Genomic DNA, 13,901 nt, shown 5'->3' with positions numbered 1-13,901 from the left:
AGATGGAGAGAGAATCATGTGAAAAAGCACTTTGAAAATTGTAAAACTCCCTACAAATGTAAGATATTGTTAATGACCTTACAAAAACCACCTTTTTAAAATGATTTGGAATCATAGACTCTAAAAGTTGATTCTAGTGGTCTAGTCCAAATTCTTAGCTACTGAAAAAAACCCTTTTCCATAATTCCTGATGAATGATAATTGCTTTTGCTTCAGTATTTCTCTATTGCTGTTGAACAAGATCAAATTGTTCTTTATGTTCACTTAAAATTGCCCTTCTTCAAAAACTTTATTAACTTATTTTTTATCTCTGGAGCTCAGAGACAGATCTGCTTCCTCCTTTATATGATAGCCCTTTTATGACATGCTCATTTGAGATCTTCATCATCTCACCTCAAAATCGCAATAGCCAGCCAGCCGCTGTGGCTCATGTCTGTAATCCCAGCACTTTAGGAAGCTGAGGTGGGCAGATCAGTTGAGGCCAGGAGTTCAAGACCAGCCAACAACAAAACCCCATCTCTACTAAAAATACAAAAATTAGCTGGGTGTGGTGACTTACGTCTGTAATCCCAGCTACTCGGGAGGCTGAGGCAAGAGAATCACTGAAGCCCAGGAGGGGAAGGTTGCAGTGAGCTGAGATCGCACCATTGTACTCTAGCCTGGGTGACAGAGCGAGATCCTTGTCTCAAAAAAAAAAAAAAAAAAAAAAAAAGCAATAGCCACTTAACTGGCTTCTACCATCTCCTGTTTTTCTTTCACACTTGAAGAAGATTTATTCTAAATAGACATCTGATAATGTTACTTGCCTTAAAACCTATCCCTATCTCCCCATGGTTTTCAGAGAAGTCTGACATTAGCAAATAATAGTTATAACTGCCGTCAAGCATAGGCAGTGTACTAACCACTTTGCAAATACCATCTCATTTAATCCTCACAATTATTCTGAAAGGTGTTGGGTCCACTTTCTTTCTTTCTTTTTTTTTTTAATCTTTGCTGTTGAAGTAGATCAACAATGCCATTTGCCTGTTGAAAAATAAGATTTTTCCAGGATTTTGTTAAAAGAAGATAAATTGTTAGTATAACAGTAGCTTCTGTCTTTGCATACTGTCTCTTCTTACTACTACACACTGGTGGCACATGATGCATTTAGTGCATAGTAGCATGGTGTGGAGATCAGACCACAGTGCTTTACTTTAGCGCATCCAGGGGAAATTTAACAATTCTCAGTAACTCTCAGCCTTAATGGGCTTGTTTATTGTTAAAATTCATCTTTATCAAAGGAAGCACCAGTTAATGATTTTTCTCCTGGCCCAACATGCTGGGTATTAACTGGAATTGCTGAGTGATTTGCAGTGGGGAAACCATGAGAGCAATTTCATGTTTGTCCACAAATTATCATTAGCAGTTTCATTTGCAGATTGAAGAAGCAGGAGGAATGGGCTCTTTGCCAGTTACAGCTTCCCTCCGCTTAGGGTGTTAGTTCAATTATGTCCAATTAACTTTTATTGCAGATAGTGATGATAATTACTTGCAAGTCAGTTTTTGGCTGCAGTTAAACCAAGACTGAAGTATGAACTTGATGGATTTTAATAACCGGTATGACACATTTCACACCCTCACTCCACTGCAGTTATTTCTTTTTCCAGGCCTCTTTTAGACAAGAAGTCAAAGCATTGAAAAGTCCATCTCACAATTAAAACATACTGTCCTTCCTTGGAAGAGACTTATAGGATCATATTTTAAAATAATCTATTAGGAGCAGTCTTAATGGCTTTTTACATTCTGAGATCATACCCTTGAGTTCACTGTTGCTTATCATAGGAGAATAGACTGAGATTAACTAAATGTCATTCATAGCAATATATGCTAATTTTAAGATTATAGTAATTGGCAAGGTACAATCTGGTTTTCTGATTGCGTTTTAAATTCTCTTCTAAGTGCAAAAGAAAACTTGGTTTGGACACTTTAAAAGTCTGTAGGACATTGGCTGTAATCCAGTGCCTGTAATCCCAGCATTTTGGGGGGATGAGGTGGATTGCTTAAACCCAGGAGTTTGAGACCAGCCTGGGAAACATGGTGAAACTCCTTCTCTACAAAAAATATTTTAAAAAATTAGCTGGGTGTGGTGGCACATGTCTGTAGTCCCAGATGCCCAGGAGGCTGTGGTGGGAGAATCACCTGAGCCCGGGAAGTCGAGGCTGCAGTGATTGCATCACTGTGCTCCAGCCCGGGCAACAGAGTGAGATGCTGTCTTAAAAACAAAAGAAGTCTGGGTGCGGTGGCTTACACCTGTAAGCAGTTTGGGAGGCCGAAGCAGGAGGATCACTTGAGGTCAGGAGTTCGAGACCAGTCTGCCCAACACGGCGAAACCCTGTCTATACTAAAAATACAAAAGTTAACTGGGCACGATGGCATGTGCCTGTAATCCCATCTACTTGGCAGGCTGAGGTGGGAGAATCGCTTGAAGTGGAGGTTGCCGTGATATGAGATCCCATCACTGTACTCCAGGGTAGGTAACAGAGGAGGACTGTCTCAAAAAGAAAAGGAAATCAATAGGACACTGAGGACACGTCTCTTTTGCTGTATAGGAATTTTAGGGTTTTTTTTTTTTTTTGAAACAGGGTCTCACTCTATTGCCCAGGCTGAAGTGCAGTGGTGTGATCTTGACTCACTGCAACCTTGGCCTCCCTGGTTCACGTGATTCTCCTGCCTCAGCCTCCCAAGTACCTGGGATTACAGGCGCGTGCCACCACACCTGTCTAATTTTTGTATTTTTAGTGGAGATGGGGTTTCACCACGTTGGCCAGACTGGTCTCAAACTCCTGATCTCAAGTGATCTGCCCACCTCAGCCTCCCGAAGTGCTGGGATTACAGGCATGAGCCACCATGCCCAGCTAGTATGTTATTTTAATAGAAAGTTACATATTTTTGGAAGTAACCCTTATAAGATGGATAAAGAGGGATAGAAACAAGGGACATAATTTGCCTTTCTTGAAGAAGAAGACTTGTAGGTCCCCTTCTGCTTTCTTCAAACTTTCCTGTCAGTATTGTTTTTTGAAGGTTACCCTGAAAAGTGGACTTACAAGCAAAATATTTTTAAAATTTTAATTTTATTTGGATTTTTTTGTTACTTCTTAAAATGTTGTGGGTATAAGCAAAATCTTATCTCTTTAAAATGCAAAAGACAGGCCGGGCACTGTGGCTCATGCCTGTAATCCCAGCACTTTTGGAGGCTGAGGCGGGCAGATCATTTGAGGTCAGGAGTTTGAGACCATCCTGGCCAACATGTTGAAACCCCGTCTCTACTAAAAATACAAAAATTAGCCGGGCATGGTGGCACGTGTTTGTAGTCCCAGCTACTTGGGAGGCTTGAGGCAGAAGAATTGCTTGAACCCGGGAGATGGAAGTTGCTGTGAGCCGAGATCGCACCACTGCACTCCAGCCTGGGTGACAGAGCAAGACTCTGTCTCCAAAAAAAAAAAAAGCAAAAGACAAGTAGATTCCAGCTGGTGCTGTTATTAGATTTGCAGGTGACTTGCTGCTGTTTTCATTTTGGATGTTGCCTGCCTTCGTATCCTTTGTTGTTGTGTACTCTTTCTAAGGGTGTATCAGTTTCCTTGGATATCTTCATGGGCTTGGCTGCATAAAAATTTGGTTGAGCCGGGAGCCGTGGCTTACGCCTGTAATCCCAACACTTTGGGAGGCCGAGGCAGGCAGATTACCTGAGGTCGGGAGTTTGAGGCCAGCCTGACCAACATGGAGAAACCCTGTCTCTACTAAAAATGCAAAAAAAATTAGCCTGGCGTGGTGGTGCATGGCTGTAATCCTAGCTACTTTGGAGGCTGAGGCAGGAGAATTGCTTGAACCCAGGAGGTGGAGGTTGCAGTGAGCCCGTATCGCACCATTGCACTCCAGCCTGGGCAACAAGAGTGAAACTCTGTCTCAAAAAAAAAAAAAAAAAAAATTGGTTGAGTATGGCAGAATATGACAATGCATTTTAAGAGCCTATTTTTTGTTAATGTTTGTTTAAAGTAGGGGATAAGTTGATGGCTGCTTGCAGAAGGGTCATAACACACTTGTTCTACCTCTAGAACTTCCCAGGCCTCACTAACAATGAAAGAAGAGGAAAGGGGGAGTATATAAACATCATCCTTGTAGTACAAAGCTTTTCATTGGTTACTGAAAACCATTCTGCTATAGAATAGCTAAGTCCCTGCTGGCCAGCTGCTGTTGGTGTGAAAGTGGAGAAGCTAGCTATAGTGGGTACTTTTCAGGAAGTTGGAGATAAAGTTTATGATGTCATTTGAAACTTTTTGGATGATGTGAGGAAAGAATGTCAAAACGGTTAACACTCTGGAAGATATAAGAAGGCTTTCTTTTAAAATATAAGAGAGTTTGCATGACACTTGAGGTTCTGGATGTGTGTTTAGAAGGAAGGACCTTGAGAAACTCTTACTAAAATGTGAACATGGGGTGGGCATGGTGGCTCACAACTGCAATCCCAGCACTTTGGGAAGTCAAGACAGGAGGATTGCTTGAGCCCAAGAGTTCAAGACCAGCCTGGGCAACATAGTAAGACCCTGTCTCTACAAAAAACTTTAAAATTAGCCAGGTGTGGTGGTGCATGCTTGTAGTCCCAACTGTTGGGTGGGGGTGTTGGGGGTTGGGGAAGACTGAGGTGGGAGCAGTTGAGCCCAGGAGGTCGAGGCTGCAGTTGTGGTCACACTACTGCACTGAATGAAGCCTGGACAACAGAGTGAGACCCTATCTTAAAAAAAAAGATGAAAAAATGAAAAGTGAACATGGCAGTTAAAGAGATGGTGGTGAATGTCAGGTATGAAGAAGGGAGGATCATTAACAGCTCCTCCTTCAAGATAGACATTTCTCTTTCTGTTTGTTTCTTCTTTCTTTTTTTTTTTTTTTTTTGAAATAGGGCCTCGCTCTGTCACCCAGGCTGGAGTGAAATGATGTGATGTTGGCTCACTGCAACTTCCACCTCCTGGGTTCAAGCAGTTCTCGTGCCTTGGCCCCCCAAGTAACTGGGATTAAAGGCACATGCCACCACACCTGGCTAATTTTTGTATTTTTCGTAGAGATGGGGTTTCACCATGTTGCCCAGGGTGGTATTGAACTCCTGACCTCAGGTGATCCACCCGACTCACCCTCCCAAAGTGCTAGGATTACAGATGTGAGCCACTGCGCCCAACTTGTTTGTTTCTTCTTTCTTGAGACAGGGTCTCACTCTGTCGCCCAGGCTGGAGTGCAGTGGCACGATGACGGCTCACTGAAGCCTCAAACTCTTGGGTTTAAGAAATTCTCCCACCTTAGCTCCCAAGTAGCTGGGACTGCAGGCACACACCACCACAACTGGCTAATTTTTTTTTTTTTTTTTTTTGAGACAGAGTCTTGCTGGGTCGCCCAGGCAGGAGTGCAGTGGCGCAATCTCGGCTCACTGCAAGCTCCGCCTCCCAGGTTCACGCCATTCTCTTGCCTCAGCCTCCTAAGTAGCTAGGACTACAGGCGCCTGCCATCACGCCCAGCTAATTTTTTTGTATTTTTAGTAGAGACGGGGTTTCACCGTGTTGGCCAGGATGGTCTCGATCTCCTGACCTCGCGATCCGCCCGCCTTGGCCTCCCAAAGTGCTGGGATTACAGGCGTGAGCCACTGCGCCTGGCCTACACCTGGCTAATTTTTTTAGACATGGTCTCACTTTGCTATCCAGGGTGGTCTCAAATTCCTGGGCATGGCCAGGCACAGGTGGTTCACACCTTTAATCCCAGCACTTTGGGAGGCGAAGGCGGGCAGATCACCTGAGGTCAGGAGTAGGAGACTAGCCTAGCCAACATGGTGAAACCCAGTCTCTACTAAAAATACAAAAATTAGCTGGGCGTGGTGACACGTGCCTGTAATCCCAGCTGCTCAGGAGACTGAGGCAGGACAATCACTTGAACCCAGAAAGTGGAGGCTGTAGTGAGCCGAGATCGCACTCCAGCCTAGACTCTGTCTCAAAAAAAAAAAAAAAAAAAAAAATTCCTGGGCTCAAGTGATTCTCCTGACTCAATCTCCCAAAGAGCTGGGATTGCAGTCATGAGCCACTGCACCTGGCTTAGGGTAGGTGTTTTTTTGTTTTTTGTTTTTTGTTTTTTGCTTTCCAATGGCGAAATTCTCTATCTTTAGAATAAGGGAGTCCATGAATGCTCACAGTGGAAGCATTCCCAGAACAGAGTGGAAGTAGGGAGATAATTTGAAGTATAGGCACTGGAGAAAATGTTATTCAAAAAACTGTTGAGAAGAAATTGGAAGTTGATGAGGCAGAAAGATACAGGAAACCTATTCCAAGTGGCAAGAACCCCAGTGGCACACTCACCAATTTAGAGATGTCTTCTCCATTAAGATAAATGAGAATAGTTGCTAACAGACCACTCTCATCTCTTTTTGATCTCCAACCCCACCCTTTCTAGACTTCAACCTTGTATTTTTTTAAAATAAAAAAATTTGTCCAGGCACAGTGGCTCACACCTGTAATCCCAGCTTTTGGGAGGCCGAGGTGGGCAGATCACGACATCAGGAGATCGAGACCATCCTGGCTAGCCCAGTGAAACCCCGTCTCTACTAAAAATACAAAAAAAAATTAGCTGGGCGTGGTGGCGGGCACCTGTAGTCCCAGCTACGCCGGCTACTCAGGAGGCTCAGGCAGGAGAATGGCGTGGACCTGGGAGGCGGAGCTTGCAGTGAGCCAAGATCTCGCCACTGCACTCCAGCCTGGGCAACAGAGCAAGATTCTGTCTCTAAAAAAAAAAAAAAAAAAAAAAAAAAAAAAAGTGAAACAATTTGAAATATATAGAACAGTTGTAAGTATGCTAGAAATAATTTTTTTTCTTTCAATCATTTGACAGTGTTGCTGACCTGATGTTCCATCATCCTTGAATACTTTAGTATTTCCTATAAACAAGGGGCATTCTCCAACTTTACCACAATACAACTGTCAAAATCAGGAAAGTAACATTGACACATTACTTCCATATAATTATCAGATCCTCTTCAAATGTTGCTTGTTATTATACCAGTTATATGCTTTATAGCAAAAAGGATCCAGGTCAGAATCACACATTGCATTTATTTTTCATGTTGTCTTAGTCTCCTCCAGTCTGGAACAGTTTCTTCAGGCCTTCTTTGATGTTCATAACCTTGATGCTATTAAGTTATTTTGTAGAAAGTCCCTCAATTTGGACTTGTCTGGTGGTTCCTTGTGTTTAATTTAGGTAACATATCTTCAACAGGAATATCACAGGAGTGATGCTGTGTTCTTCACTGCATGATTTCAAAAGGTACAGAATTTTGATTTGTATCGTTACTGATAATGTTTGATCACTTGATTAAGGTGGTGTTTGCTAGGCTTTTCCTAAGTAAAGTTACTCATTTTCCCTTTGTAATTAGTATTTTTAGGAGACAGGGCTTAGAAACTATACAAATATTGCATTCCTTTTCAGCCTTCCAATGTATTTGTTTACATTAGTATGAACTAATGATTTCTTGTTTTATTCAATGAAATATCATCTTTTATTATTTATTTTGATGCTCAGATTATTCCCGATTTGGCCAGTAAATCAAGAAAAAAAATTATATAAATATATGTTTAATCATAAAAATGCCCAAATAATCTGCCATTCTTTTATTTCAATAGGTTGACAGATAAATACTCCCCAAACTAACACCTTACAGGCAATGGTAGAAAAGAAAAATTCACAACTGTTGTATTCTGGTAACATGCCTGCTTTACCCAGTGTACCCACTCAATGTCTTCTCTAATTTCTACTGTGTAAACTTCTGTCTCTGGGGTTTCCCTCACCAACTAAGCATCTTGTGCCTTCTTTGTCCTTTGATATTTCACTGTTATTCTTTGAGCACTTCCTTTCCTGCACAATAAGATATATTAGACTCATCTAGTACTTTCTCTGCCTCAGTCAATTCTCCAAGGAGCCTTGGTTCCTTTCAATGGAAAATGCAGTATTTAGAAACCAAGAGTAGGCCCTGTTGGGGCTCATTGCAATTGGGTGGGAGTGATCACTGCATCCAGTACTCTTCTCATTCTGTTTGGGTAGCTTCCATTTCTAATTCAATTGAAGTGACTTAATAGAACTGGGTAAAAGTTGATAAGGACACTGAGTTGGTAAGGGAGGTCCCAAAGAGAGAAGAAATTAAAGAGGACAGTGGGCCAGGCACAGTGGCTCACGCCTGTAACCCCAGGAATTTGGGGGGCCGAGGCAGGTGGATCGTTCAGGAGTTCAAGACCAGCCTGGCTAAGATGGTGAAACCCCGTGTGTACTAAGAATACAAAAAATTAGCTGTGCATGGTGGTGGGTGCCTGTAATCCCAGCTACTCATGAGGCTGAGACAGAGAGTTGCTTGAACCCAGGAGGTAGAGGTTGCAATGAGCTGAGATTCCGCCACTGCACACTCCAGCCTGCGTAACAGAGCGAGACTCCATCTCAAAAAAAAAAAAAAGGACACAGAATGAAGAAGATGTGTACCAGTAATAGAAGAATTTTGAACTTTTGTTTTCTACCACTATCCATAAGATTACTTGTCGGGGGGGTGTTAGTTTTTTTTTTTTTTTTTTTTTTTTGAGGTATCTTTGAGATAAAAGAAAGGCAAGGCCGGGCGCTGTGGCTTACATCTGTAATCCCAGCACTTTGGGAGGCCGAGGCAGGCAGGCAGATCACCTGAAATCAGGAGTTCAAGACCAGCCTGGCTAACATGGTGAAACCCCATCTCTACTAAACTAAAAATACAAAAATTAGGTGGGTGTGGTGGCGGGCATCTGTAATCCCAGCTACTCGGGAGGCTGAGGCAGGAGAATTGTTTGAACCTGGGAGGCAGTGGTTATAGTAAGCCAATATTGCATCACTGCGCTCCAGCCTGGATGACAGAGTGAGACTCTGACTCAAAAAACAAAAGTAAATTAATTTTAAAAGGGAGGGCAAATTACAATTATTTGGGCATCTTTAGAGTTACATGTATATTTATTGGATTTTTCCTCCCCGATTAACTCAATGCTAAAATAATGTTGACTTAAATGACTTGTTTGGTGGGACTTAATATGTAGTATAAGATGCATATTTGACAGGTTAGAAGCAGTCACACACTTTGATAAATAACAATACTGAGGCCGGACGCGGTGGCTCATGCCTGTAATCCCAGCACTTTGGGAGGCCGAGGCAGGCAGATTGCCTGAGCTCATGAGTTCCAGACCAGCCTGGGCAACATGGCAAAAACCTGTCTCTATAAAAAACAAAAAAATTAGCCACATGCAATGGTGTGCACCTATAATCCCAGCTACTCAGGAAGCTGAGGCAAGAAGATCCGTTAAGCCTAGAAGTTCAAGGTTGCAGTGAGCTATGATTGCACCACCATACTCCAGCCTGGATGACAGGGTGAGACCTTGTGTCAAAAACAAACAAAAAAGCAATTCTGAATGACTTTTGAATTTCTCAGGTCCACAGAAGGGAGCCAAATAATTCTGCTGATCATTGAGTGAGTTGTGGTACTTTCAACACTTTAGAGGTTTAAAGGACTGCTTTAGGCTGGGTGCGGTGGCTCACGCCTGTAATCCCAGCACTTTGGGAGGCCGAGGCGGGCGGATCACCTGAGGTTGGGAGTTCAAAACTAGCCTGACCAACATGGAGAAACCCCATCTCTACTAAAAATTCAAAATTAGCTGGGTGTGGTGGCACATTCCTGTAATCCTAGCCACTCGGGAGGCTGAGGCAGGAGAATTGCTTGAACCCAGGAGGTGGAGGTTGCGGTGAGCCAAGATCGTGCCATTGCACTCCAGCCTGCAACAAGAGCGAAACTCCGTCTCAAAAAAAAAAAAAAAAAGACTACTTTATTAGTTTTTTATTTGTTTTGCAGACAGTTCCTGAAATGAGGAAGCTTCCTAAAGTGAATTTCAGAATCTTTATCTGTGTGTTTACCCTAGCTATGAAAGTATTATTCTAACAGGGACTGTATATCTGTTTTTCCTTCCTGTAGATTGACCCAGCATTGCAAATTTCATTAGCTAGTTGTGGTCTGCCAGGTGTGGAAGGGGGTGCTCCACCTCTTCCTTTAAGCTTTCAATTCTCGGGCCCCTTTAAGCTTAGCAGCCTCTTGAGCTTTCAGAGACCCTTTAGCTTCAGAAACCTGCTAATTCCTTGGACATGTGGAGCGTGAACCATAAATCTTCAAGTTATAGTGAGTCTCAGTGACAAGCAATGTAAGTGCTTTGATTTTCACTAAGGCTATATAGAAGCCTTTGACAAAGGTTATTACATATCAGGATTCCTCATGGTCCATACTCAGGCTGGGGGAGGAGAAGGAAGGGCCTAAAGGGAATAGAATGCATTAATGTATCAAACTTGTCTTTCTGTATTACCTTATAATCTGCCTTGGCAAGATTGGGAAACTAGCCCTAGATAACAGAAGAATAGAAGATACAGTGGGGGCTGGGCATGGTGGCTCACGCCTGTAATCCCAGCACTTTGGGAGGCCGAGGAGGGTGGATCACGAGGTCAGGAGATCATACCATCCTGGCTAACATGGTGAAACCCCGTCTCTACTAAAAATACAAAAAAATTAGCTGGGCGTGGTTGCGGGCGCCTGTAGTCTCAACTACTCAGGAGGCTGAGGCAGGAGAATGGCGTGAACCCAGGAGGTGGAGGTTGCCGTGAGCGGAGATCGCACCACTGCACTCGAGATCGCGCCACTGCACTCCAGGCTGGGCGACAGAGCGAGACTCTGTCTCAAAAAAAAAAAAAAAAAAAAAAAAAAAATACAGTGAAGGGCAGTGTGTTAGCTATAAGTAAAACTTCATTCTCCCTGCCCTGAATTTACTGTCCTTTCTGAAACTCTTCACTAGCAATGTATGGCAAGGCGTTGTGCACAGAGAACTAGTTCTAAGAAGTTGTCAGACCAAATGGATACATAGTGGGTACATGGCCAAGTACACATGTGAAATCCTTTTTCCCAGAAAATTCAAAATAATATAGGGAGCAGGGAGATGCTTCCTGCTAGAGACCTGGGCGGGCTGTATGATGCCCAGCTTCCAAAAGATGTCACAGCACAAGTGTCCAAATGAAAACTGACTTAGGAAAGGTATGAGTTGAGAGTAGGCTTAAAGTCAGGGTTTACTTCTTACATTCAGGGAGAGAATGAGGATACAAGGGGAAGGGTTTTCTGTGCTAGGATTGCTTGAGAATGAGAGGTAACTATTCCATCATTAGTTGTATTGTGTTTTGATACAGTTTACTCTGTGTGAATAATACAGCTCTCCCCTGGGGGAATAAAAGTCTGACCACTTCAAGCTTTCCTTTGCCTATGTATAGTCATTTTCCCAGCGGATTTACCTTGCTTATAGTTGCTGTCTTATCCTTCACTTTGAAAGGATTTTCACTATGAATTGATTTCAAAGTGTTAGGCTAGCCAAAGCATAAGAATGAGTTACATTGCAAAGTGTTGGCCTAGGAGAGGTGATTCCTCCAATTCATTAGGAAGTCAGTAATTACATGCACACTTAAAAAAAAAAACAAAACCTATGGCCGGGTGTGGTGGCTCACACCTGTAATCCCAGCACTTTGGGAGGCCGAGGTGGATAGATCACGAGGTGAGGAGATCGAGACCATCCTGGCCAACAAGGTGAAACCCCGTCTCTACTAAAAATACAAAAATTAGCTGGGTGTGGTGCCTCACACCTGTAATCCCAGCACTTTGGGAGGCCAAGGCAGGCGGAGAGGAGATCGAGACCATCCTGGCTAACATGGTGAAACCCCGTCTCTACTAAAAATACAAAAAAATTAGCAGGGCATGGTGGCAGGCACCTGTAGTCCCAGCTACTCGGGAGGCTGAGGCAGGAGAATCGTTTGAACCTGGGAGATGGAGTTGCAGTAAGCTGAGATTGCGAGATTGCGTCATTGCACTCCAGCCTAGGCTACAAGAGTGAAACTTTGTCTCAAAAAAAAAAAAAAAATAGCCGGGCATGGTGGCACATGCCTGTAATCTCAGCTACTTGGGAGGCTGAGGCAGGAGAATTGCTTGAACCTGGGAGGCGGAGGTTGCAGTGAGCTGAAATCGTGCCATTGCACTCCAGCCTGGGCAACAAGAGCGAAACTCTGTCTCAAAAATAATATCATCCTCATCCTCATCATCATCATCATCAAAACCACGGCTTAGAATTGTGTGTTTTTGTCGTATATAATAGTGTAATCAGAGGGATATAATATGTGCTTGTTAAACATTGACTAGAGAGGCAGCTATGGAACCGTTCAATGTTTTTCAGACATTTTATCTATGCCCACGATAAAGATTGCATCTCAGTAAACACACACATAGAATATAGATAACAGTCATGAAAAAATAAGTATGCTTACTATTATTTTGTGGCATTTTAAATTCAACACTTTTAAAAGGCTGGTCACAGCCTGCAGATTGGAAAATATTTAATGGAATGATCACATGTCTAGGAACTAAGACAGAGATTCAATACCAGATCCACTGACCCAGCTTTATATCACAGAACAAGTTACTTAATCTTTCTGAGCCTGGGTTTCCTTATCTGTAGAAAGAGAATAATACTTGTTCCATCTAGATTAGGATTGTTTTAAATTTCAAATTAAGGCTGGGCACAGTGGCTCATACCTATAAACCCAGCACTTTGGGAGACTGAGGTGGGAGAATCATTTGAGTCCAGGAGTTTAAGACCAGCCTGGGAAACATAGTGAGACCCCATCTCTACATAAAGGAAAAAAAAAAAAATAGCTGGGCATGGTGGCTCACACCTGTAGTCCCACCTACTCAGAAGGCTGAGGTGGGAGGATCACTTGAGCCCGGGAGGTTGAGGCTTCAATGAGCCGTGTTTCACGCCATTGGATATTGAAGCCTGGGTGACAGAGCAGCTCACTGCAACCTCCATCTCCTGGGTTCAAGCAATTCTCCTGCCTCAGCCTCCTGAGTAGCTTTGATTACAGGTCCCTGCCACCACGCCCAGCTAATTTTTTGTATTTTTAGTAGAGACGGGGTTTCATTGTGTTAGCCAGGATGGTCTCGATCTCCTGATCCGCCCACCTCAGCCTCCCAGAGTGCTGGGATTACAGGCGTGAGCCACCGCGCCCAGTGAAAAGTAATAGTAATGATTATTGCCTTTTTTTTTTTTTTTTTTTTTTTTTTTTTTTTTTTTTTTTAAGAGAGGGGATCTTACTCTGTTGTTGCCCAGGCTGGAGTACAGTGGATATTCACAGGTGTCACTATGGCACACTGCAAGCTCAGGCTCCTGAGCTCCAGCAATTCTGTCCTCTCAGCCTCCTAAGTCGTTGGGACTATAAGTTTATGCCACCACACTTGGCTAATTTTTTAAAAGTTTTTAAAGAGTTGGAATTTTACTGCGTTGCCCATGCTGGTCTTAAATTCCTGGCCTCAAGCAGTCTTCCTACCTCAGCCTCCTGAGTAGCTGGGATTACAGATGTGAGCCACTGTGCCCCACAAGAGCCAACATGTAAATAATGTTTACTGTGTATCAGGCACCTAAGCACTGGAATATGTTAAACCCAAATTTAATCTTCAAAATAATCTCGGCCAGGTGTGGTGGTGGCTCACACCTGTAATCCTAGCACTTTGGGAGGCCGAGGCGGGTGGATCACCTGAGGTTAAGAGTTCGAGACCAGCCTGGCCAACATGGTGAAACCCCATCTCTACTAAAAATACAAAAAATTAACCAGGCGTGGTGGCAGGAGCCTGTAACCCCAGCTACTTGGGAGCCTGAGGCAGGAGAATCGCTTGAACCCAGGAGGAAGAGGTTGCAGTGAGCCGAGATTGTGCCACTGCACTACAGCCAGGGCAAGAGAGTGAGACTCAGCCTCAAAAAAGTCTG

At 43.3% G+C, this 13,901-nt stretch overlaps 1 protein-coding gene across 27 annotated transcripts in view; it reads left to right on the top strand.

Annotated features, from left to right (window-relative positions):
- FAM222B (family with sequence similarity 222 member B) overlaps positions 1-13,901 on the top strand; it is a 99,025-nt gene that overhangs the window by 57,298 nt on the left and 27,826 nt on the right. For 10 of the 27 annotated variants that reach the window (XM_047436381.1, XM_047436379.1, NM_001288635.2 and 7 more), the window contains one exon: positions 7,282-7,329. The exons of 12 other annotated variants lie outside the window; for them this stretch is intronic. The gene's annotated coding sequence lies outside the window, so the exon portion shown is untranslated. Of the gene's footprint in view, positions 1-6,897; positions 7,330-13,901 lie in introns of all 27 variants that reach the window. 5 more of the 27 variants (XM_047436376.1, XM_047436374.1, XM_047436372.1 and 2 more) reach the window with 2 other exon arrangements.

The sequence above is a fragment of the Homo sapiens genome, chromosome 17 (assembly GCF_000001405.40).
Source record: "Homo sapiens chromosome 17, GRCh38.p14 Primary Assembly".
Classification (NCBI taxonomy): domain Eukaryota; kingdom Metazoa; phylum Chordata; class Mammalia; order Primates; family Hominidae; genus Homo; species Homo sapiens.
This window is presented reverse-complemented; position numbering and strand designations above follow the sequence as displayed.